Source organism: Homo sapiens, chromosome 9 (assembly GCF_000001405.40).
Source record: "Homo sapiens chromosome 9, GRCh38.p14 Primary Assembly".
Taxonomy (NCBI): Eukaryota; Metazoa; Chordata; class Mammalia; order Primates; family Hominidae; genus Homo; species Homo sapiens.
This window is the reverse complement of record NC_000009.12, coordinates 91,308,620-91,334,648: the sequence shown is the minus strand read 5'-3', so window position 1 is coordinate 91,334,648 and position 26,029 is coordinate 91,308,620. Positions and strand designations below refer to the sequence as shown.

Genomic DNA, 26,029 nt, shown 5'->3' with positions numbered 1-26,029 from the left:
GTATCAATAGAAATATAAAAGATTTATTGTGAGGAATTGGCTCACGGGATTATGGAACTGAAATGTCCCACAGTCTACATCTGCAAGCTGGAGACCCAGGAAAGCTGGTGGTGTAATTCAGTCTGCGTCCAAAGGCCTGAGATTCATGGGAGCCAGTGTAAATCTAGTCCAAGGGCAGGGGAAGATGAGATGAGATGTCCCAACTCTAGCAGTGGGGCGGAAAATAGAGGCCAGTTCCTTCCTCCTTCACCTTTTGTTCTATTGAGGCCCTCAGGGAATTGGATGATGGCTACCCACATGGGAAGGGCTGCTTCTTTGCAGTTCACGAATTCAAATGCTAGTCATCCAGAAGGACCCTTACTGACGTACCAAGAAACTGTATTTTATCTGGGCACCCTGTGGCCCAGACAAGTAGACACATAAAGTGAGTCATCACAGCAAGTATGACAATGCCGTGTACTGGAGGCAGTGTGTGGATGTGCAGCCACTTTGCATTCCATATGACCTGGCAACTGACTTCTGACTGATGTGACTTAAAAACAGAGATCCCCTGGCTGGGGCTGGGATGTTTCTAGGCCTCAGGAGGTGCACACATCTGTCTAATACATAAAGGGTCTGTCTAATACATAACGTGTACCCTGTCATAAAACTCTTCAGGCTGAACTGGAGGTTCCAGTTCTCTTTCTCTTCATAGTTGCCTCTTCCACAATGGAAAGTTATTCCTGATCTTTGCTTTGTTGCTACAGGGAGGGGAAAAAAGCCTATGAATTGCCAAAAAAGAGGCCTTTAAAATATTAATGTTGAGAATTTCAGCTGAGATTCTTATTCTGGCAGTTTCTGGTTCTTTGCTTTCAACATAGTTTGAAGACAGTTTACTAGAATTGTTGGGAACTTGTTAGATGTTTCTTGATTACGATGTGATTTTTTCACCAGAGTGCTAAAGGAATGACATTGCTGTAGTAAACATCTTCCTTGTTTATGTGAAAAGGTTTTCTCAGCATGAGTAAAATTGATGGTAAATCCTGCCTCACTCTAGCAGTAAATAATACTCATTCATGAATATATGAAATAATGAGAGGAGGGAAGGTAGTCCCATCTATCTCATTGTGATGCATGTCTAATAAAAGTTTATATTTAGTATTTAATAGTTATCAAATTTGAAATATATTTTTGCTTTTGTCAGTTCTGTGCTAATAATACTTGTAATGAAAATTCAATCCAGAAGAAAACTTTTAAACTTGGCACTTTATAGGGAATTTAATAAAAATTAATTTAATTTGCATACACATTTTGTTGCAAAGAAATGTGACAGAATGACAAATAAAATATTTTAAAGCACAAATACCAGTTATATCAGGAAAAAAAAAATTGAAAGCAGAGCAAAAATACCAGTTAATGAAGAAAGGAGATAATGTAACATTTTTTATATTGAGAAATAAAAATGAAATGCTAAGCCAACTGACTTGGACAACTGTGACCTCCTTTTGGCCGAGGAAAATCTCAGCCATGACAGGATGGGAGGTCGGACATCTCTTGTAATACCCCCTCCCTGGAGAACTGCCATTAGGCTTTCTTTCCTGAAGGTTAAACAAACCAGCCCTTTGGAAAGACTTGCTCCACTGCTGATATCTACTGCCTGGTGCTGCCCCTGCCTTTTGTAGTTTTAACTGCTTACCAGCGTTCTTTCCTGATAAGAGAGCGAGAACCGCAGAGTGGTTCTGGGAGGTCTACGAAGGATGCACAGTGAGGGTTTTTGTGTCCTCTGCTTCACCTTTGACAGCAGAGGGCTGAAAACTCTGCCCTCGGGCCATGCTCACGCCCCCATTTTTTGTACATGACCCATGAAAGTGCATGAAGCTCAATTGTGCGCACGCATTTCTCCTTTTATAATATTCATGACTCTTAGAACTTGTTAAATATGTATATTCAGCCACCTCGTTCATCATAAATTCCACTTCCCTTTGCCTTTCCCTTGAAGTGTCTGTTTCTGGCTTCTGGCCAAAAGCTGTGCTCCCCAGCCTGTCAGTATGGCACAAGCCGCAACCATTTATGAGAAATAAAACTCTCCTTTCCAAGTTTATGAACCTCCTCATTCTTCAGTTTACACTTTTTAAGGATAGGTTTGTTTGTATGTTTTATTTATTTTTTTGAGACAGTCTTGCTCTGTTGCCCAGGCTGGAGTGCAGTGGTGCGATTTTGGCTCACTGCAACTTCCACCTCCTGGATTCAAGTGATTTTCCTGCCTCAGCCTCCCAAGTAGCCGAGATTACAGGCACCCGCCACCACTCCTGGCTAATTTTTGTGTTTTTAGTAGAGTCGGGGTGTCGCCATTTTGGCCAGGCTGGTCTTGAATTCCTGACCTCAAGTGATCTGCCTGCCTCAGCCTCCTACAGTGCTGTGATTCCAGGCGTGAGCCACCGCGCCCAGCTTGTTTTAAATGCGGTATGTTTTAATGCGGATGATTTTGAGAACCAAATCACTGATAGTGTAGGTTCCACTGGATTCATTGAAAATGGCATATGAGTTTTGTTTAAAAATGTGAGTGTTCATAGTACATTGAAATCTTTCAAACTACTTAAACTTAGATGAAAAATTTCAAATGTCAGCATAAAAATGTTCAAAGGAGCACATACTTCAAAATTCTTTTAGCAATAATAGGAACAAAAAGGTTGAAGATCACTGGCTTAAAGCATTAGATCTCAAGGGGACGTTAACACCCACTGTGGAGCCTTTTGGAATTTGAGGGACGTTTTTGGCTGTTGAAGAGCTTTATTGACATATGGTTAGTGGGGGCCAAGGAAGCTAGACATCATGCAGTGCATAACAGAGAATAGTGTGTTTTCCCATAACTTCTCTAAAGTTCATTGGAGTAGTTTACTGCAAATATAAGTATAGAAATTTAATACATACTAATCCTAAAGAATATTTAAAAGAAGGAATTTATTAAAACACTGAAATTTTAGGAGAGGGCCATTATAGTGGGTGGTGTTTAAAATATATGTTTTCTCAAAATTGTTAAATAATGTATCAATTCCATGCGTTGTCTACTTAGTGTATTATACATTTCCAACTATATATTTAAATGAAAAGAGTTTGCAGTAGATAATGCAAAAGCAATACAAGTTATTACTGGCAAGTTACATACAAATATGTAACAGGAGATATAAAGTTCATTTAAAATGTCTGAGAACCAGGTATTAAATTATTAGATACACTTGAAATACAAGGAACATATGAAATCTTATTGAATCTTATTATACTTTCTCTTAGAATAATCTCTCCTCAGATAAACCTCATTGGCTATGATACTGCCATTCACAAAGCTTATTATACATTCTCAAATAGAATGGTATTTATGACATCGAATATTGTGACATGGTCACCACCTTTAATACCCGTCTGTACTTTCTTCACCTTTTTCTCCAAAACATTTATCCCCTTCTATGTAGATTACTAATTTGTTATGTTTATTTTTTACTCTTTTTGTCTCCCTTGCTTGGAGACAGTATAGGAGGAGAGCATGGGAGGCAGGTCTTCTGAAGAGTTTGGCGTAAAAAGGAGGAAAAAATTGGCAGCTGGAGGGGGTAGGGCGTATGGAATCAGGAAACTTAAAAAAAATTTTAACTGAAGTATAATGTGGACATACAGAAAATTGCACAAATTAAAAGCACATAATTCTGTAAATTTCTACAAAATGAAGTCCCAGCACACCACAGTCGTCCCACATGTCCCTTCCTTATCATTACCCATCTCCCACCCAAAAGACATAGGCAATTATTATGACTTTTATCGCCAAATACTAATATTGCCTATTTTCAAACTTTATGTAGTTGGAATTTTGCAGGCTGATCTCTTCCATTGAACATATTTGCAGGATTCAGCCTGTACCATTCGTCTAGGAGTAGTGCAGTCCTGTTCCTTGTAGAAATATTTCATAATTTGTGTCTTCTACTGTTTGCTTGTTGTTTGAGGTGTTCCCAGCTTTTAGCTGTTTCTAATAGTGCTGCCCTGACTATGCTTGTACATGTCTTTTAGTACACATCATGCATTTTTTGTTGAGTGTGTATATTTGGAGTGGAATTGCTTTCCAAAATGATTGTACTGGTTTTACTCCTAGCAGTCTTAAGTCAGAGGTCTCATTGCTTTACACCTTCACCAATACTTTATGCGGTATCTTGACTGTTGTTGGCACTTTGCATTTTCATCTTATTAATTTTCAGAAAAATTGGGATTTTTATTGGAACAACATTTAATCTATTAATTTGGAGAGAATTTACATCTTTTAGTATGAACTATTCTAACACATGAATGTAATGTGTTCTTTTATTTGGGGCTTCTTTATTTCAGTAAGATTTTTCAGTTTTTGTGTCAAGGTCTTATGTTCCTTTTGTTAGATTTATTCTTTCACTCCTTGATTTTTGGATGTTTTGAAAGTGATATCTTTTCGAGATTTCACATTCAAATTTCTTTTGCTAGTATATAGAAATACAGTTGATTTTTGTATATTGAGCTTATATCCAGCAACCTTACTAAATTTACTTATTTTCATGGTTTGAAAATTCTTTAGGCTATTCTTCATATACAGTTATCTGCTAATAATGACTGTTTTATTATACCTTTCAATCCTTGTAAGTTTTATTTTGGTCTTATCACACTCGCTAGTACATCTGTTACAGTGTTTAAAAGTGTTAGGGAACACCCTTGTCTCTTTTCTTGGTCCCTGGGAGGAAGCTTTTAGTAATTGACTGTTAAAGATTATGTTAGCTATAGGTACTTTACAGTTACTTTTTATTATAAAGATTCCCTTTTCTTCCTAATTTGCTAAGATAATTTAATCAGGAATGAGTGTTGATTTTTAGATATTACCAGAAAAGCACAACTGATAAAAATTTATAATTTTGATTAATTTTAATCAAAATTAAAATTTGTGCTTCAAAAATCACCAAGAAAGTGAAAGGCAAGACACAAAAATGAAGAAAATATTTGTAAATCATATATTTTAGAAAGGGCTTGTATCTAAGTTATAACTTACAACTCAATAAGGAGAAAACAAATTACCTGATTTTAAAAAAATGAGCAAGATTTGAATGGACATTTCACTAGAGCAGCTGTTTGAATGGCCAGTAAGCACATGAAAAGTGTTTAACCTCATTAGTCATTAGGGAAATGCAAATTAAAATCCTTATAGGTACCACTTCACACTCACTAGAATGGGTATAATAAAAAAGACAGACAATTGTTGGTGACTAGGAAAACAGAGACCCTCATGCATTGCTGGTAGGAATGTGAAATGGTGCAGCCAACCTAGGCAAACAGCTTGGCAGGGTTTTTGTTTTTTTTTTTTCTTTTCTCCAAGTTAAACAAAAATTTACAGTATGACCTAGCAATTCTACTTTGTCTTTATCCAAGACAAATGAAAACATTTGTCCACCAAAAACTTGTAAGTGAATGTCCATATCAGCATTAGTCATAGTAGCCAAAAAGTAGGAATGATATGAATATCTGTCATCCGATGAAGGGATAAGCAAAACGTTTATATGTTCATACAGTGGAATACTTCATGCTTATAACATGCATGAACCTGAAAAGCAAGCCATATGAAAGAAAACAGACAAAAAAAGACCACATATTGTATGAATTTATTTATAGGAAATGTCCAGAAAAGACCAATTCTTAGGAACATAGATTAGTGATTACATGGTGCTGGGATGGAAACAGGGAGCAACTGCATATGGGCATGAGAGATCTTTTTGTGATAATGGAGGTGTTCTAAGATCAGATTGAGGTGATGGTTGTACAACTCTGTAAATTTAGTAAAAATCCTTGAATTCTATACTTAAAGTGGCTGAACTCTATTTTATGTAAATTATTCTTCAGTGAAGATGTTAAGGAATGAATATTGAATTTTATCAAATACTTTTTCTGTAACTAATGAAAATGTATACGATTTTCACCTTTATTTCATTAATTTGGTGAGTCCCTTTAGTGGGCTCTCTTGTTGGTAGTTCCTTTTTCTCCGAGATCTTGGCCTCAAAGTTCTGGCTGAGCCTGTAGTCTTCACTGCCAGTGTTTGTCTCCCCACTTCCAGGAGATTACAGAGATTTCTGAGCTGCTGCTTCGTGCTACGGCTTTTATACCCTCTTTACCCGACCAGTTTATAACTCAGTGTATGTTTTGGGAGGAAAGCAGAGGCTTACCATAGTTTCCCTTCTCTGGCTTTCCAGCCTCTTACATCCTGGCTGCCTTAGTTGCTCAAGCAGCTGTCTTACATATTTTCTGCAGTATTTCATGGAGGAATTGGTCTGATGATGACCTATTCCATCATAGCTAACAGTGGAAGTCTATGTGAGTTTTTTTTAAGATGTCAGTATTACAGCATTGCTATATGCTGATGGGAACGAACCTCTAAGGAGGGGTAGTATTGATGCCAGCCAAGGAGAGCGCGTAAGTGCTGGAGTGAGTGATGTCCCCAAGGAGATTAGAAGGGGTTGAATCCAGTGCACAAGGGGATGGATTGGCCTCCCTCATGATGTTACAGGATTCCTTCAGTGCCACTTTGCCAGCCAGAAATCTTTGCTGCCCCTGCCACCTCTGTCTGGGCCTTGCTTGGGCCCCCTGGCCTTACTCCACCCTCTTGGCCTGGCAGGTTGTGCTTGGTTCGCGCCCACTTGAATCCCGTGCCTGCTGCACCTCCACACTCAGCTTGAGGCTGGACTGGGCATGCCATGAATGACTTCCATGTCAGGCACCGGTGTCTAGACAAGGGGAATGTGGTGTCACCCAAAAACTCAGAGATAAAACCAGCATTCATGGAGCCCCAAGCAGTGTTACAACTCTTGCTCGGGGAGTCCTGAGGTCTGGGACCCCAGAAATGTTGCAGCTCTTCACTCCCATAGCTTGGCTAGCGGGAGCATGTTACAGCTCTTTTATTCCCGTTGCACGCAGCTTGGCGAGCCGGCCAGGGGCATCACAGCCCTTTCATTCCTGTCGCCTGCAGCTCAGCGAGTTCCAGGTCCTTGTCCCGCGACCAAGAGGAATGAGGTGCGTGGACACCAGAGAGTGAGTAAGGCAGAGAAGAATTTTATTGAGTGACATAAGGAAAGCTCTCAGCTGTGAGAGGGGACCCAAAGTGGGTAGCCACCTGAGAGGGTGAGTCTGGGGTTTTTATGGGTTAGAATGGAGGTGTGTGTGCTGATTCATCCCTGGGTGGGCTTGGAAAAATCACTGTTTGATTGGTTAAAAGGCATCATCCAGAAGGAACCAATCAAGAGAGTGAGGGTAATATGGGGATAGAAGTTCTCTCTCTGTTTATGGACTCTCTCAAACCAGCAGCTCGGTTTTTAGACTTTAAACTGTCAGTGGCTTGAAGGTTGGGTTTCACTGGGGACACATCCCTGTCTGCTGGGGAATTTGTCTGTCTTCTGTCACTCTCAATGAGTTAGTTCATTCATGGTAACAGGAGGCAGGGCGGAGTATATAGGTTCAAGTCCTGGATGGATAGCTTTGGTGGTAAGTACTGGTAGAATGTCTTTTCTGGCTTTTCGTAGGATTGATAGGAGGTTTTAAGATTCGTGGAGAGGGAAGTTGTGAAGTGGTCTATATGTGAGTAGGAGAGTGAATGAACTCAGGAAATACAGTAGGATTGCTGGGCAGCAGAATGGCCCACTTGAGATGAGTGGTCATAAATGTAAAATATTTAAATTTATGAAGTAATGGAACTGAGAAATACTGGGCCTCAAAGAACAGTTTGGCACCAAGTTAAGCCAGTTATTTGTTTTTGGTTCTGCCAACATTTTTCTTTGTTACATATTAATTCTTCATGGAAAAATTAATTACAAAGACATGTATCAGGCATTCCAAAACATTTAAAGACTTGCATATTTAGCACCCACCACCCAACCTAAGCAATACAATATTACAAATAAAATTGAAGTCCTCTGTGTACCCATTGCCAGTCATACTCCAGCCCCCATAACCACCAATTGAATTTATCATTTCTGTGTGTTTTATATCCCTGAATAGCATTATTGTTTTTAAAATTTGTGTTCATTATCCTGTGTATCTTTCTGTAATTAATACTTTTTCAATAATATTATTCATTGGATTTATCTGTATTTACTCTTAATTCTTTCACCTTCATGCTTATACAGGTAACATTCTATTTATAATTATGTCCTTGTTTTATTAATTCTCCTATGGATGGATATTTAGGTTATATCCATTTTTTTGCTAGTCTTTGTATGCTCCCTTGAATTTTATTGTACATATTTTCTTGGGTATTTGAGAGATTTTCTAGGGTATACATATCTAAGATCTGATGGATGCTGGGATATGTGCTTTGTCAACTGAGGTTCTCACTCCCCTGGAAGTGTGTGAGATCAGAATGCCCCTGCCCTAGCCCTTACTTATATTATGTATCAGCATGATTGATTTGTAATAGACTAATAAGGGTAAATAGCTGAGTGTATGCCTTCTATACTGTAATTTTACTTTGTTGTTCGTCTGTTTGTTTAATTGGGGACCCATCTTTTTTCAGATTGTTAATTTTGCTAAAGATCTTCTTTGTTCTCAGAGTTAATTATCCCTTAAGGAATTCCATGTGTTTATTTTTCTCTGTTCCAAAGTTACGATTCTGTGCTAAAGTCATAATTATGAAATCATCAGTTTGTTCATACTTTAAATCTATGCTTCTCCCTTGTGGTTGACAGTCCCCAAGGCAGGCATCCATGAAGTCAAAAGGACTGACCAAAGTGTAATCTGCCCTTTTTACTGGGTTGGCATTTGTGCTAATACACTGCAAAAGCAGTGGTGGATAAACTGACAGCACCTTGCAAAGCAGCAAGGTGGTGTCACCAATTTGTCATTATTTATGTTAACATTAATGGGTTCATTTGTATTTTTAAATGAATAAACATTTAAACAATTTCTTAGTTTTGATTTCTAATAGAGTAACTATAGATCAGTAGATGCCAACTATAGTGTCTTCCTTTAAGAGCGTGAAGGGGCCTGAGACTGGAAAGCTGGAGAAGCACCGCTTTAAGCACATGGTAGACGTATGAATAGACAAATACTTTATTCTTGTTGAACATGGTCATTGGGAAGGAAAACTGAGGTAATGTCATTCTATTAAAAGATGAATTAGGCTGATCTTGAAGTTGTATACTAATCTTAAGTAAATTTTCAATTCTTTGCCTTAAAATTTTGTTTACAACTAGATTATATTTGTAAATAAAATACTTTGCAGGTGCTGACCTTAAGGAAAGAGCCAAAATGAGTTCCAGTGAAGTTGGTCCTTTTGTCTCCAAAATAAGAGCAGTGATTAACGATATTGGTAAGCACTATTAAGTTCTTCTTTCAGCATGCCGAAGGGGTTCTTAAATGTCACATTTAAAAAGTTACACATTATATATAAGCATTGGTTAAATATTTATATAATTAGATAATCATGACCTATAGCTGTTTAACGTGACACTTAATATATTTAATTTGAAAAATTATGTAAAATATTTAATAATTACAGATGTCTTATGTATGATAAAATATGAAGGTATTTATTTATTAGACAACAATAATAATTTGCCATAAGCCTTTGACTTACAATATCTATATTTAACTATATACATGCAAACATACGTTTGGGATTCCTTTGTTTTTTAAATATACAGGATCATACTTTTTTAAGACTTACAGTAACTATCAATTTATTTTATTTTTAATTTACTGCTGTATATTAATCCAGTCTTATCCAAAATTTTATATTATTTCTTCATTAATGAACATTTTTTTCCTCTGTTTATGTTATTTATAATAAGGTAGTGAATACCCTTGTACATAAGCATAGATTCTTAAACAGGGAATCGCTGTTCCAGTTATCATTTGTTCATTTTATATTTTAGTATTAATAAATTCTACAAAATTATATTCCCATCGGTTAAAGACAGTATATGTTTCCTCACATTCCTGCCAGCATATAATGTTGCTATTTTTGAAGTTTGCCTAGGTTAAAAAAAAAAAAACTCAACATTTTAATTTGTATTGCCCCAAATGCTTATGTGATGTTTTATCTTTTCAAATGAGATTTGGCTTTCTTTTTTTTTTTTTATTTGGTTTTAGTTTTTTTTTTTTTTTAATTTTTGATTTTTTCTAGAGACAGGGTCTCACTTTATCACCCAGGCTGGAATGCAGTGGCATGATAATAGCTCACTGTAACCTCCAACTCCTGGGCTCAAGAGATCCTCCTGCCTCAGCCTCCTAAGTGGTTAGGACTACAGGTGTGAACCATCAGGCCTGGCTGATTTTTAATTTTCTTGTAGAGATGGGGGTCTCACTGTGATGCCCTGGCTGATCTTGAACTCCTGCCTCAAGCGATCCTCCTCCCTCGTCTTCCCACAGTGTTGGGATTACATGCATGAGCCACATTACTCAGCCTTTTCTTCATTTGTAAATTGCCTTTCACATCTTCATCCTCCTTTTATAGGATTATTTAATAACTACTTGTTTATTTAAAAGGCATTTTTATATTCTTTGTGTTTAAATGTGTTATAGATATTGTCCTCTAATGTGCTTAATTTGATTCCAGTATCTTTAAATTTAAAACTTTTAATATCTAGATGATGCTAGGTTCTCTTTATTATTCTTTTTCCTTGAAGGTTTTCTCTGTTGATTCTCGCACATCAGTTTTTCCAAATGAATTTAGAATTATTTTTTTAAGGCAAAGAGGAAAAATTTCTGTATTGCAACTGTGATTGGAATTTTATAAATTTTGTTAAGAAAATTTTGACATTTTTATGATAGTAAATCTTTCTATCCATAGTGTGCATGGCTCGTATTTTCTGGGGTCATTCATTTTTTTAATGTCTTTCAAGGAAGTTTTATACTTTTCTTGGTCTTATATCTTTTTTTCCCCCTCAAATATATTCCTAGCTATTTTATAGCATTTATTCCTTTGAATGAGACCCTCCCCTTGTTTTCGTTGTAGTCTTGTTATTATAGTCTGTAGGAAAGTTATTAAGTTTTTTTTTTTTTTTGAGCCGGAGTCTCGCTCTATCACCAGGCTGGAGTGCAGTGGCACGATCTCAGCTCACTGCAACCTCCGCATCCCAGGTTCAAGCAATTCTCCTGCCTCAGCCTCTCAAGTAGCTGAGACTACAGGCACGTATGACCATGCCCAGCTAATTTTTGTATTTTTAGTAGAGATGGGGTTTCACCATGTTGGCCAGGATGGTCTTGATCTCTTGACCTCGTGATCCACCTGCCTTAGCCTCCCAAAGTGCTGGGATTACAGGTGGGAGCCACCACACCTGGCCAAAAGTTAATAACTTTTATGTGCTTATTTTATATCATGTCAGCTGGATAATTACTTGTGTTAATTCTTCTTTAATTTTCTTGTGTTTTCAGTTGAAAAGTACAATATAGGTAATTACCTATAAGTAATGCAGTTTTTATCTCCTCCCCCAACATTTTAACCTTACATATTCATATTTTTTCATATTGGTTCAGGCCCTCATAGAGTATTCATTTGTTAAGGTGAGCGTGATCATCCTTATCTTTCTTTGACTTTGGTGGGTGCCTTTAATATTTTGCCAGTAATTATGATATTCAGGCAGTTCTCTTCTATTTCAACTTGTTAGGAGATTATTTCTGTTTTTAATCAAGAATAAGTATTAAAGTTTGTCAAATGCTTTTAAAATATGCATCGGGATTATAATTGATGTATGTTAGCGTTTGCCTTATTTAGCCTTTATTATACTGAGTTGTGTTAATAGATTTACTAATGCTGCGGTGGCCATACATTACTAGAATAAGCTCTGTCTGGTCATTGTGGTTAGGGGTGGTGTTGGTTTTTAAAATATATTGCTGGATTCAATAAAATGCTTTTGGTAGAATCATAAAGGAGATTGAGCTTTTAATTTTGTTTTGTGTTATTCTTTTTTGGTTTGGTGTGAAGGTTATTTGTCTTCATAGAATGAGGTGAAAAGCTTTCCATGTTTTTCTATGCTATATACAGAACAAATCATTTTACTTGAAAGAATTGTAGAATTTGACCATTTGACACCTTTTTGCATCTTCTGTGGTTTTGTTACTGTTTTCTCACTTTCTTAGAATTAAAATTTAAAAAATACGTGTTTTGATTTCTATAATGTCTTTGGCTTAGCTGTCTATTCTGCCTCTTCTCATTCTGTGCTGGTATTGTTTTAGGCCCTGCTTCTCTCCCCAGCTTCAGCCTCATGTTTATGTACCTTCTGACACAGAGCATGAACTTTGTTTAGAAGTTGGTCAGAGAGCTTGATTTTAGAAGTAAAAGTTGATGCTACCTGTAAGTTTATATATATGCAAGGGGGTGGCTAAGATTGGTTTCATTGTTCAAATTACCTTGATGTTTGTTCCAGAGTGTCTTTCTGTTCTGTGGATTCTGAAATTGGGATTTTTCTGGAACTCTTTCTGTCTTTGCAATGTCATTTTCTTTTTTGTGATTGTAGCTATAGCTTTTCTTTTCTGGGCTAGTTCTTATCTCCATTTTTTCTTGGGAGTTCCTCCATATTTATTAATGATACTTTTTATTATAACATTACAGTAGACTTACTGTGATGATTCCAGACATTTTGAAGGACATATGGAAACTAAGTATCTTAATAGTATCTTAATAGAATCCACTCATTTAATATGTTAAAAATCACAGGCAGGCAGGCTTTATCTTGAAGGGTCATATAGTAAATATTGTAGGTTTTATGGTGCCATATGGTCTCTGTTGCAGCTATACAACTCTGACTTTATAGTATGAAAGCAACCATAGATGATGTATCAACAAATGTGTGTGGCTCTGTTCCAATACAGCTTTATTTATGCATACCCAAATTTGAATTTCATTTGATTTTTATGCATTTTGAAACAATTTTTTATTTTGATTTTTTTCCCCAGGCATTTAAAAATGTAAAAACCATTCTTAGCTCACAGGTTTGTACTAAAACAGGCAGTGGGTCTGATTTTTCTTTGAATGTCATTTGTCTCCTATCTTCATTTTTCCTGTTGTTTGGAGTTAATTCCTCTATATTTATTCAAGAAATCTCACTTCAGTTCTAATTTGAACAACTTGATGCATGCTTGGCTTATACCTTTGTCATTGGGTTTTGCTTTTTGGAGTCATAAAGCTTTTAATTTTAAGGTCTTCGCTTTGATAGGGAGTTTAAAATATTGCATCTGGGGGTTTTGTATTCTTGATAAAATTCAAAGAAAACAAAACAAAACAGTTCAAGAAAAAACAAAACAAAAACCAAAGATAAGTTCATCCAATCTTAAAAAAATGTAAAGAGAAAAAATAGCATAAACTTAGAACATCTTGAATAGTAAGATGTTGAAATAAGTCAAGTACTCACTATTAATGTTAGTTGATTAAACTTGCGGTTTAAAGACATAGATGTTCAGATTTGACTAAATAATTGACATCAGCTGAATATTGTTAAAAATAGCCACATCTGGGATACCTCTTTTTGTACCTGAAGATTACTAGCCAAAAAAAGATATATCAGTATTGATATTGGTCAAAATACATTTCAAAATAAAAAGCATTACTAGAGAGAGAGTTGCTGCATGTGATAAAAGATTCAATTTTTCAAGAAACATACCCTTAAACTTGTATGCACTTAAAAACAAAAGTCTCAAGATACACACATAAAATGATATGGATAAATTGGTAATTTGTCATCACTGACAAAATTATCAACCCATCTCCCTCAATTTACCATGAGGTCAAAAAGACAAAAGTTAATAAAAATTTTTTAGTGATTTGAACAACATAATTATCAAGTTTGGTTTAATAGACTCAACCCCAACTTATGTATTCTCATGAACACAAGAAATGTTTAAAGATATGGGTCACGTGCAGGACCCTAAGGTCTCTGTTAAATTTCAGAAAATTGGTGTATAGAGACCATATTTTCTGTCCACGGTGGAATTAAGTTATGTTAAAAGAAAAACTTCAGCCAAATTAAGTTTAAAGGAGTTTAATAGACCAGTGAACGATTTATGAATCGGGCAGTCCCCAGAATCACAGTACATTCAGAGAGACTCCAGGGATGCCTTGTGGTCAGAACAAATTTATAGACAAAAAAGAAGGAAGTGACATACAGAAATCAGAAGCGAGGTGCAGAAACAGCTGGATTGGTTACAGCTCAGCGTTTGTCTTATTTTAACACAGTTTGAACACTGGGCAGTGTATGAGTGGTTGAAGTATGGCTGCTGGGATTGGCCAAGCCTCAGGTACTGTCACAGGGCATACTCCTAAGTTAGGTTTTCTGTCTTTTCTACCTATTAAGTTAGGTTGCAGTTCATCCACAAGTATAGAAGTACAGAGTCTTTCTAAGGCCGTATTTAGTTTGCTTTAACAGTTAGAAACAAGATATGCATACGTACAGATTCTAAAACCGTATATTTGTAAACTGAGAATACTGAACAGCTCATGGGTCAAAGAAGAAACTATAATGGAAAAGAATACTAAAACTGAATGATTATACAATTACCATATGTCCAAATATATGAGATTTGATTAAAGTGGTACTGTTAGCTGTGATGTATCCATGTCATGCAGCACAAGTATGTTAGCATCAGTGAATCTGTACAGGTCTGTAGCAATCTCAGTTCTTGCCTCCTCAGAAGAAAGAATTCGACCCAGGGGCATAAGGCTGGAGGAGACACTGGGGCAAGTTTTAGAGCAGGAGTGAAAGTTTGTTAAAGAGCTCTAGAGCAGGAAGGAGAGGAACTTGCACAAGGATCAAGTAGACGACTTGAGAGATCAGGCGCACCGTTTGACCTTTTGAATTGGGGTTTTATATGTTGGCATTCTTCTGGGGTCTTCTGTTGCTTCTCCTGTGATTCTTCCCTTGGGGTGGGCTGTCTGCATGCGCAGTGGCCTGCCAGCCCTTGGGAGGGGCTGCACGTGCAGTGTGTTTACTAAGTTGCAGGCCTGCCTACTTGAGGCACCTTCCCACTTTGCAGCCCCGTGTTCCTAGAGGGACGTCATCCGCCATTTTGCCTCAGTGCTCATGCTCAACTGCACTTGCCCAGCTCCTGAGATCTTATCAGGAAGCTGCTGATCACCAGTTTCAGGTATTTCTATCTGGAAATACCTGATATTTCGAGGAGACTGCCTTTCTCTGGTGTTGGCTGTGACCAATTATTATTTTAGAGAGACAGTTAACAGCCGCCTGACAATTACATGGTCACCTGACATTCCTGGTGTGTGTATTTTGTGGGGAGCCCTTTCCAACTCTGCTCGTGTCTGATTAGCTACCTACTGTAACAGTACTTGAGGGGAATTTACAACATTAAATCCATAAGTTAGCAAGGAGATGTCATTGATGATAAATAGCTAAGCATTACCTTAAAAAGATTTTTAAAAGTTTTAAGTTCAAAGAATGTTGAACTAAAGCAACAATACAAGGAACAGAAATGAGTAAAATGGAAGACAGAGATGCAGTGCCTAGGGTCAACACAAGGCCGTGCTCTTTACAGTGGAGTAAAAAGTGTTTTAACAATACGTATTACAAATGAAAAAAAGGTGTGATTATAGATACAGGAGAGATTATAAAGATAATAAGAAAATACTGGGAAAAAACTTTATGCCAATAAATATGAAACTTCTGTCTCAAGAAGAAATCATGGGCTGGAATAGTCATGTAACCAAAAGAGGGTCCAACTTCTCGCCGCTTGTAGAAAGAAGCCAAAATAACAAGAGTGAGGTATGATAAAGAGTGTGAATTTTATTAATTGTTGCCAGCAAGGGGGAAAGTGGACAGAATCCTTTCCCAAAACTGCCACTTTCCAATTTCTGGAGAGTGCAGGGGTTTAAGAAGAGGGATTTGGAATGCAGGAGAGGCAAGGGGGCTGGGAGGTGCCCAATGGCATGACTTGCTCCTATGGCTTATCCTGAATTATTGTTCCATCTGGTGAAGGGGCCAGCACCATCTTGGGCCCAACCATGCCAAATCAGTCGCAGTCAGTCTTGCTGTCAGTCTCTAGCCGGGAGTAACTCTGGCCTTGAAGTAATATCCTGCTCGGGAGAGAATTCTGGAGGTGCCTGGTTTGCATCAGGATTTGGCCCCTGAAGCTTCTAAGGAAACATAGGACCAGATAAGTGAGCATGGTGTGAGCTTAACAAACATCCAGGTAAATACATGTGCATCAGGCATGAAAGCATAAGGTGGGAAAGGGAGGGGAGTGGAGTTTTAAAGCACATTCCAAGGCTGTATTTAGAGACAAAAGAAAACACATCTGTAGTTTGTCTCAAAGCTGTGTCTTGAGACTGGGATGAAAAGAGGAAAGGAAAAAAAATTTCTAAAAGCAGTTTGAAGCTAAGCTGCTTGGTTACAGTCATATAATCACTGAAGTGATCAACCAATTCTTATAGTAAACTTTTTCACAGAGAAAGCACCAGACCCAGTTTTTTGATGATAGAGATTTACTTTTAAGATGTTTTACCCAATGCATAAGGAACAGATTCTTACAATCTTATACAGACAGTTCCACAGGATAGTAAAGTGAGAGTTTACTCCTAACTCATTATTTCAGACTAGTGTAATCTTTATACCTAAATCCGAGAGAAACAATGGAAGAAAGGAATAGGAGGAGACAGCCTCACTTGTGAGCATACATGAAATCCAGCAGATTGTAACAAAAGACCAAATTGGGCTTTCCCAGGAAGGCAATGGTGGTTTCCACTGGAAAATATTAAATTTTAACTCATGATGTTAGCCAATGAAAATAAAGTCATATGTGTATCTCAGTAGATTGAGGAAAAAGCATTTGAGAAATATCAACATGTATTCATGGAAAATGTTCTCAGCAAACTAGGAATAGAAGGAAACTTCCTTAGCCTGACGAAAGGTATCTCTTTCTTAACAATAAAATATTAGAAGTCATCTCCTAAAATCAGGAACAAGGCAAGAGGACCCACTGTCACCACCTCTGTTCTATATTATTCTGTAAATCCTGGTTTCTGTAGTAGGCAGGAAACAACAATAAATAAGGACCGAAAAAGAAATAACAGAGTCCTTCTCATGTGGTATGGCTGTCTCCATCAAAAAGCTAAAAGAAACAATAAATTATTAGAAATAAGAGTGTTGCAAGATGGCTGGAAATGAGATCCATATTCAGAATAATCAATTGCCTTTCTTTATACCAACAACAGACAAAAGATGTCAAGTAAGGATACCCTGGAAAGTAGGAACAAAAATGAGTCTAGGACTACATGTAGCATATTTGGAGAAATTATAAAACTTTATTGTAACATGTTTAAAAAAATAAATGGAGACAAATTATCCTCTTGAATAGGAAGATTGAGTATTAAAAAGATGATTCTCACAAATGGTGTAATTCAGTGTAATTACACCTAGACTCTCAGTATTGATTTTGTGAGGGACTTGATGAGCAAAAAGAGACCCCCAAATAGCCAAACACTCATAAAGAAGAAAATGAAGCGTCTTGCCATTTCAGCACTCAAGATTTATTATAATGACATAGAAATGAAGACGGTGTATTATTCGCTTTCGGATAGATAAGTATACCATTGGGTTGAAATATAGAACCCCCAAAAGACCACCCAAGTGGGGAAGTTGATATGTGACAGAGGTGGCATTGCAGATCGCTGGGGAATGGCAAAGACTTAATATGTTTAGAAGTGGAAACTAAAACTTCAATGATCTTAACAGAGAGAAGAGTTTCTTAAAACATAAAATATGACACATAAAAGAAAACAGTGATCAATTTTACCAAATTAAACTTAAGAACATCAATTCATGAAAACATACTATAAATAAAGTAGAAAGAAAAGACACAGACTGGGAGACAATATTTGAAACACATAGTGGCCAAAGATTCTTGTATGCATTGATAAGTACATACAGGAATCAATACATGCATACATATGTACAGCCTTGAAGTCAGCAAGAGGACATGACAGAAAAACATTTCACACAGAGGTAGAGGAGTGAGGGTAGACATAGGAAAAGATGGTCAGCCACAGTAGTAGTCATAGACCTGCAATTAAGACCACAGTGGGATGCCATTTTACATCCACCAGATTAGCCAAAAATTCTTAAGCCAGGTCTTACTAAGAGTTAGTGAGTTAAGTGGATTACCAGGCAGGAAGATTTATACTTCTAATGGGAGCTGAACTGGTGTAACTGCTTAGGAAAAGTATTTGATATTGTCTTTCAAATTTGAATATCCACATTCCATAAGACTCGGTAGTTCACTTTTTAAGGGGTATTTACATAGAGGGATAACTTAAAGACTGTTTTTATTGGACCTGTAGTAAGAAATATATCTACACTCTGGCCCAGTAAACACATAGGGGTGGGAGAGTATCAAAGGTTATGGTTCTTCTGTCTGTACACTCTAGTTTGATACTACCCTGTGTCATTAAAAAAAATTCCTCATCTTGACTAGCTCATGAATGGGTTGCTACTTGGATTTGAAACCACATTGTTCTGCAGACATTTTGCACATGTGTCCTAGGGACACTTAACATTGTTAATAGCAAAAAGCTGAAAAACAACCAAATTTCTATGACAGGAGAATGGAAAAATATTTTGGTATATTTATACAATTGGATAGTAGAGAGCAGTGTACATAAATGAATAATACACACATGTACCAATATGGATAAATCTTTGAAACACAATGTTGATTTGAAAGTATGACTTATTTTTTATAAAACTAATAGCATTCAAAGCTAAACAGTTTGTGTTTAGGGATGTGTAAGTGTGTAATAAAATCAACATATACACACACACACAGACTTTACAAGGATGGTTATCTTTGGTTTGGAATTCAGGTGGAAGGATAGTTGAAGAGCTCGGTGGCAGACAGGTGTTAGTTCTGACCTAGATCTAGCTTTGAGTGGTGATTGTGTTGGAGTTTATTATGATTATGCTTTATTACATGTATATGAATATATTCTTTATATGTGCCAAATAAGACCAATTTTTAGAAGATTCATCTATCTTGAAACTTGTGGACATTTCTTATTTACTGTATTTTTTTTTCTTTCTTACTGTCAACTGAAGAATGACAAGGTTCATAACTTTAGAAAGGAGAGCTTTATGTCTCATAAAGGGTTACAGCCTGCAAGGTGGCTATTCCCACACTCTGGGAAGCACAGCCTCTGGCCAGAATCCAGAAACTGCCACTTGGAAGGTGGGGTAAAGGGAACAGGAATGTATGCTGAGCAGGGTGGCCAGGTATACATAGTCAATAAGCTGCAGGAGGAGTCATGAATATTTATGAAAGGAGAAACAGGCACATGCGCATTTGAGCTTCAGGCCTTTCCGTGGGACCCATGTGTAACAAATGGCAGCCAGAGCAGGATCTGAGGGTGGAGTCTTGGGACCTCTGCTGTCAAAAGATGAAACAGAGGGCTGGGCGCGGTGGCTCATGCCTGTAATCCCACCACTTTTCGAGGCCAAGGCGGGCAGATCACCTGAGGTCAGGAGTTCGAGACCAGCCTGGCCAACGTGGTGAAACCCTGTCTCTACTAAAAAAATACAAAAATTAGCTGGACGTGGTGGCGCACGCCTGTAATCCTAGCCTGTAGTGCCAGCTATTAGGGAGGCTGAGGCACGAGAATCGTTTGAACCTGGGAGGCGGAAGTTGCAGTGAGCCGAGATCATGCCACTGCACTCCAGTCTGGGTGACAGAGTGAGACTCCGTCTCAAAAAAGAAGAAGCAGATGACACGAAAAACTCTCATTGCGCCTCCTCTGTAGATGGGCCAGAACCACCCTGTGGTTGGTAGTCTCTTTATCAGGAAGAAATGCTGGTTGGTTGTTTTGACAGAACGGCAGAAGGGCGGGGCAGCATTCAGGCTGTTGGTTGAAATCAGCAGTGGCATCTTTCAAGGGCTGGTTTCTCTTTAGCCCGTTAGAAGAAAGCCTAATGGCGGCTATTGAGGGAGATGGTCTGACCTCCCATCACATCATAGCTACGAATTCAGCCTCTGAGGTTTCTCTGTGGTCCCCTTGGCCAAAAGAAGGTCAGTTCAGTTGGTTGAGGGGCTTAGAATTTTTTTTTTTATTTCTCATTATTTTCAAGGGAAGCCAAGATTTTACATGTCTAGAAAAATAGCTCTTGGGCTTTTGGTTTTAAGGTGTTTTTTTTTTTTTTTTCCTTCTTTGAGAGAGGGTCTCCCTGTGTCGCCCAGGCTGGAGTGCAGTGGTGCGATCTCAGCTGTCTGTAGCCTCGACCTCCGGGGCTCAAGTGATCCTCCCACCTCAGCCTCCCGAGTAGCAGGGATGGGCTCTACCATGCCCGGCTAAGTTTTGTGTTGTTTCGTCATGTTTCCCAGACTGGTTTCGAACTCCTTGACTCAAGTGATCCTCCCGCCTTGGCCTCCTGAAGTGCTGGGATTACAGGCATGAGCCACTGTTCCTGGCCCCCTACTTTTAAGGTTTTTGACATTAAAACTTTTCTTGAAACTTTTTCTCTTTGATGGGAGAGAAAAATCCTTTTGCATGTCTAACAAAATGCGTTTATGGGCAGGCACAGTGGCTCATGCCTGCAGTCCTAACACTTTGGGAGCCTGAGGCGGGCAGATCACCTGAGGTCAGAAGTTTGAGACCAGCCTTGCCAACATGGTGAACCCCCATCTCTACTCGAAGTACAGAAATTAGCCAGGCGTGGTGGCACGTGCCTGTAATCCCAGCTACTCAGGAGGCTGAGGCACGAGCATCACTTGAACTTAGGAGGCGGAGGTTGCAATGAGCCGAGATCGTGCCATTTGCACTCCAGCCTGGGCGACAAGAGTGAAACTCGGTCTCAAAAAAAAAAAAAAAAGAGCGTTTATGGACCAGATACTGCACAGAGGCCTCCATCTTTCTTTCTGGCTCTCTTTTCACTAGTTCTTCTCATAAAGTTTGTTCATTTTCTTTTTTTTTTTTTTTTTTTTGAGACGGAGTCTCGCTTTGTCGCCCAGGCCGGACTGCGGACTGCAGTGGCGCAATCTCGGCTCACTGCAAGCTCCGCCTCCCGGGTTCACGCCATTCTCCTGCCTCAGCCTCCCAAGTAGCTGGGACTACAGGCGCCCGCCACCGCGCCCGGCTAATTTTTTGTATTTTTAGTAGAGACGGGGTTTCACCTTGTTAGCCAGGATGGTCTCGATCTCCTGACCTCATGATCCACCCGCCTCGGCCTCCCAAAGTGCTGGGATTACAGGCGTGAGCCACCGCGCCCGGCCAAGTTTGTTCATTTTCTGAGAGAAGAGCTTCTAGGCTTATTTTTGTCTTGGGAGGAAGTGACTTGGCCAGTGGATGTTCATGGATACTGATGGTGGAGGATCCTGCATTGTACTGTTAAAATTATGGGAGGCCATTGTTTTGGACTGAGCTCCTGCTCAAATCCCCAGCAGACCAGATTAAATTGATATAGTCACTCCTGCAAAATGCCACATAATCAAATTGAAACTTTATTAAGGAAGCAGACGGATTCCAAAACAGACCGGTTTTTCCTGAAAGCAGGAGATTCCAGTCTACCTGAATCAGCTCAGTAAGTCTACTCTGCTTTAACCCTTGCCAAAAAAACAACCCCCCCCGCAAAGCCTGATGTAACCTGTTAACCAATTAGTTTTTTTTCCTCTTGTCCTGTTTTCTTGTTTCTACCTTACTTTAAAACCCACTGTTCTGCCATTGCCTCATGGGAACTTTTATTCTATTTTGTAGAATGGAGGCTGCCCTGCCTCATGAATCACAAATAAAAGGCAATTGGATCTATAACTCAATTTGTTAGATTTTTGTCTTTGACAGTACTTACGGGCCTGCTTCCTATACAGACCCTCCAGTAATTAAATGCCTTGGCAGTGGTGTACTGGGGCCTGCTCACACTGACTCCAGGTGATTGTTAAATTTTCAGGAATTTTTTTTTGTTTGTTTTAAAAAAAAGATAGGGTCCCACTCTGTTGCTCAGGCTGGAGTGCAGTGGCACGATCTCGGCTCACTGCAGCCTCCACCTCTTGCGTTCAAGTAATTCTTCCACCACAGCCTCTTGAGTAGTTAGAACTACAAGCGTGAGCCACCACGCCGGCTATTTTGTATTTTTTGGTAGAGACAGGGTTTCGCCATGTTGGCCAGGCTGGTCTTGAACTCCTGGCCTCAAGTGATACCCCCACCTTGGCCTCCTAAAGTGCTGGGATTACAGGCATGAGCCATGACTCCCAGCCTAATGTTCAGAAATTTTGTGAGCTGGCTGTTGAACCATAGGCATCTTTAAATTGTGGCAGTATTAGTACTGATACAAATCAGGGTTCACCCTTGTCTGTTGGGTACCATTTTCCCCTCTTGCCTCCTGTTATATTCACATTTTCTACAACTGGAGAATTGATGGGATCTGAAAGGCAAATGTATTTTCTCTTTGGCAACCGTGATTTCCTGTACTCTGTGTGTTTTTAATGAAAGAGAGTTTATAAGCAACTTACAGACATGACTTATTTGAAAGCTCTTCTGTTTTATTAAAATAGAGATCAGAAAGCAGTTCTGTATTTCATTCAGAGTCACTAAATTTACTTTATTGTTCCTAGTATCTTAGAAAGTCTGTTCTTAAACAGTAAAATCCTAGAATAAAATTGAGTTCTTTTGTTCTTTAAAAAAAAAAAAAAGTCATGTGACTATTTTTGAGATGTTTCATTCAAAGGAAATGGTGAATTTTTAGATTTCTAAAATGTTAATCATTGTTACAAGTCCCCTTCCCTCTTGAAGTTTAGGTTGCCTGGATTAGAAGCAGTAAACTGATTATTTTGAAATATTAGGCATCAGCAAGGCTACACAGCAATGAAATTATCAGGATCTATTAACAGCTGTTGTTTCTTACCATTCCTTCTAGGGCTTCCTGGTGTGCACCTTCCTTCCAGTAGTTCGTGGTGGCAGTGTTGACATCACTATTGGGACCCATATTGTGCACATTAGCAGTATAGAATATGGGGAGTGGACATGTTAATTACCTCACTGAGGGCCATTCTTGCCCTTAGTAACATTTAAATTAGATGATATTTCAAGATGAGATAGAAAACATTTTTAGAATTCTCTAAGTGGAAACTCTAAAGGGATAGACCTAGTTCTCTCAAGTTGAGACATCAAAGAATTGTTACCTAATGATAAAGAAATATTTAAAATAGGTTTTCATTAGAATTTTAGATTACAGAATTTAGTGTGAGGCAATCATGTTTTTGTAAATGATCTTCCACAGTAATCCTTTAAAATGCCAGCATTCATAACTTCTTTTTCTTTCTCTGATGAAATAAAATTGCAAAAGCTTTAATTTAGCAGTGTAAATGCAAAGCTGAATTGAAATACAGGTAATTATGTTAAAAGGGACAGCTGACAAAATTCATGTATTTAACAATTTTTTTCTTAACATTTATAAGGTTTTATAGAAAGAAATAATTTAATTTTGGAAATTTTCAGTCTCTGGATCTGTTCTTCATGTGATTGAAAATCTACTGTCCATATTCATTTTTCTATGAAAAAAGCTCTCTCTTTGAAATACAAAGAATATCTTTGTATAACTGAATGAAAAAATTCTGTGTGAAAAATCTGATGTAAGTTTTATGGTATAAACCTCTTTTCAAGCAGTGCTTCTCATTTTATTTTTGTTAGCATGTCTTTCAGTTTGAGAATTGGGATACATTTGAATTTTATTATTGAAAGGCTCAAAGTAATGCAAAACAAGTCACTAATAATTAACAGACCCACTACAGTATAATAGATGCACATACATATCAAACTTTCATCTTGGCCTCTCTTCTGCAGAGGTTTGATATTGGAATCAAACTCTTCTGTCCTAGCCTAACTATCTTTGTATAAATGAGTGTTCTTTAATGTTTTGGTAACCACATGATCTATCTTTCTGTCATCTTTATCCTAAGCTTGAAGTTCCATTATATTTCAGCATGTAATGATACTCTTAGGAGGTCACAAGATCTGCTCAGTTTAACATTTTCTCAAAGATAATGCCATAGGATGGTTTATTTTGTTATAGACAGTTTAGATTTTATACATTGTTAAAATGTGATGAACTCTTGAATTATTTTGGTGTAAGTTTATTGATCTTGATCTCTTGATGTGGAATCAGAAAATGTGGATTCTCTCTACCATCTGGTACTTTCCATATCTCCCCATTGCAAGAACCATGAGTTGGCTTTTTCTTCACTTATACCTAGTGTCTAGTAATGAGCACATGGTAGGTACCTGATTGAGAGGGCAAATTGGCTTATATCTTATTGGTGTAAACATGTTAGCCATACTGTAATTATTTCATCTTATCTTCAGGCTGAACCTTCTCTTGCAATCCCTTTCCTGTCTGCCTCTACCTAAAATTCCAAGAATGCTGCTCAACTTGCCTGAGTTTGATCCTCTGTCTTTTCTACCCAAGCTCCTGCTGCTCTTAGGACATGACTGAGAATGATAGAATGAACATGAGTGGAGCAGTTGTTGGAATGTCTATTGTGGTAAATTAGGACTGATCCTTTGCTAGATTGGGATGGAAGGTCTCGCTCAGGAGTCCCAAGTTTGATATGTGAAGGTAGTGATGCTTAGTGGACATCCAAGTGCAGATGAATTCGGAGTTGAGGCAGGTTGACCCAGGTGAACTTGGGAGTCATCAGAATGTTAATGCTATGTGAAGCCATGACCACTGGATGAGACACCTAGGGGGTTACTGTAGAGATAAAAAAAAGTCTGAGGACTGTGAGGCATTATGATATTTAGAGGCTGGAATGAAAGCGGTAGATTGAGAAAGGCCACCCAGGGTAGGAAGGTGGGAAGAAAACAATATTCTTAATTGTTTGTGCTTATTTTATGTTAGATCCGGGGATACATGTGCAGGTTTGTTACATGCATGTATTGTGTAATGGTGAGTTTGGGCTCCTAGTGAACCCATCACCCAAATAGTGAATGTTGTATGCAATCAGTAATTTTTCACCTCTCACCCTCTTCACCACTGTCCTCCCCTGTGGAGTCCCCAGTGTCTGTTATTTCCATCTTTATGTTCATGTATACCCATTGTTTTGCTTCCACTTATAAGTGAGAACATGGCAGTATTTGATTTTCTATTTCCGAGTTATTTCACTAAGGATAATGACCTCCAGCTCCATGGGGCAGCAAAAGACGTGGTTTCATTCTTTTATTATGGCTGCATAGTATTCCATGGTGTATATATACCACATTAGGAAGAAAACAGTATTCCAAAAGCCAAGTGAAGAAAATGTTTCAAGAAGGAGAGTGTGATTAAATGCTGTTGACAGGCCAAGTAAGATGAACAGTAAGAACTGACTACTGGGTCTTTGAGACAGTTTGTGTATTTGGCACCACCCAAATCTCATGTTGAATTGTAATCCCCAGTGTTGGAGGTGGGGCCTGGTGGGAGGTGTTGGAGTCATGGGAGTGGATCCCTCATGGGTTGGTGCTCCTGACCTCAGGTGATCCACCCACCTCTGCCTCCCAAAGTGCTGGGATTACAGGCATGAGCCACCACGCCTGGCCAGCAATTCTTAACATAATACATTTAAGATAAAAGTTAAGACCAGGCGCCGTGGCTCACGCCTGTAATCCCAGCACTTTGGGAGGTCGAGGCTGGTGGATCACCTGAGGTCAGGAGTTCGAGACCAGCCTGGCCAACAGGGTGAAACCCCATCGCTGCTAAAAGTACAAAAAATTAGCCGGGCATGATGGTAGGCACCTGTAATGCCAGCTATTTGGAAGGCTGAGGCAGGAGAATCGCTTGAACCTGGGAGGCGGAGGTTGCAGTGAGCCAAGATTGTGGCATTGCACTTCAGCCTGGGTAACAATAGCGAAACTGCGTCTCAAAAAAAAAAAAAAAAGAATTGCTTAATAAGGAACATTTTCAAAGTTTGCAGAATTTTTTTGTCAATCCACCAAGTTGACCTGAATTGTTTATTTATGTTCACTGTGTCTTTTTTGTTTGCTTGAGGGTCAAAGAGATTTCTAAAAATATGTAATGTAGCTTATTAGATTGAATCCAGCATATATTTT

At 38.4% G+C, this 26,029-nt stretch overlaps 1 protein-coding gene across 21 annotated transcripts in view, besides 2 other annotated features; it reads left to right on the top strand.

Moving 5' to 3' along the window:
• AUH (AU RNA binding methylglutaconyl-CoA hydratase) overlaps positions 1-26,029 on the top strand; it is a 148,096-nt gene that overhangs the window by 27,270 nt on the left and 94,797 nt on the right. For 15 of the 21 annotated variants that reach the window (XR_007061324.1, XR_007061323.1, XM_017014849.2 and 12 more), the window contains one exon: positions 9,245-9,331. The exons of 4 other annotated variants lie outside the window; for them this stretch is intronic. Coding sequence is in view for 15 of the 17 variants with exons in the window: in XM_017014849.2 (XP_016870338.1) it covers positions 9,245-9,331 (87 nt within the window). In the remaining 2 variants the exon portion in view is untranslated. 2 more of the 21 variants (XM_011518803.3, XM_047423530.1) reach the window with 2 other exon arrangements.
• Positions 18,989-19,488: an enhancer, noted in NCBI's record as "OCT4-H3K4me1 hESC enhancer chr9:94077443-94077942 (GRCh37/hg19 assembly coordinates)". NCBI's record gives its function as "activates a minimal SCP1, AML or CMV promoter by ChIP-STARR-seq in primed H9 embryonic stem cells {active_cell/tissue: H9 hESC(primed)}" and the evidence as "EXISTENCE:reporter gene assay evidence [ECO:0000049][PMID:30033119]".
• Positions 19,489-19,990: an enhancer, noted in NCBI's record as "OCT4-H3K4me1 hESC enhancer chr9:94076941-94077442 (GRCh37/hg19 assembly coordinates)". NCBI's record gives its function as "activates a minimal SCP1, AML or CMV promoter by ChIP-STARR-seq in primed H9 embryonic stem cells {active_cell/tissue: H9 hESC(primed)}" and the evidence as "EXISTENCE:reporter gene assay evidence [ECO:0000049][PMID:30033119]".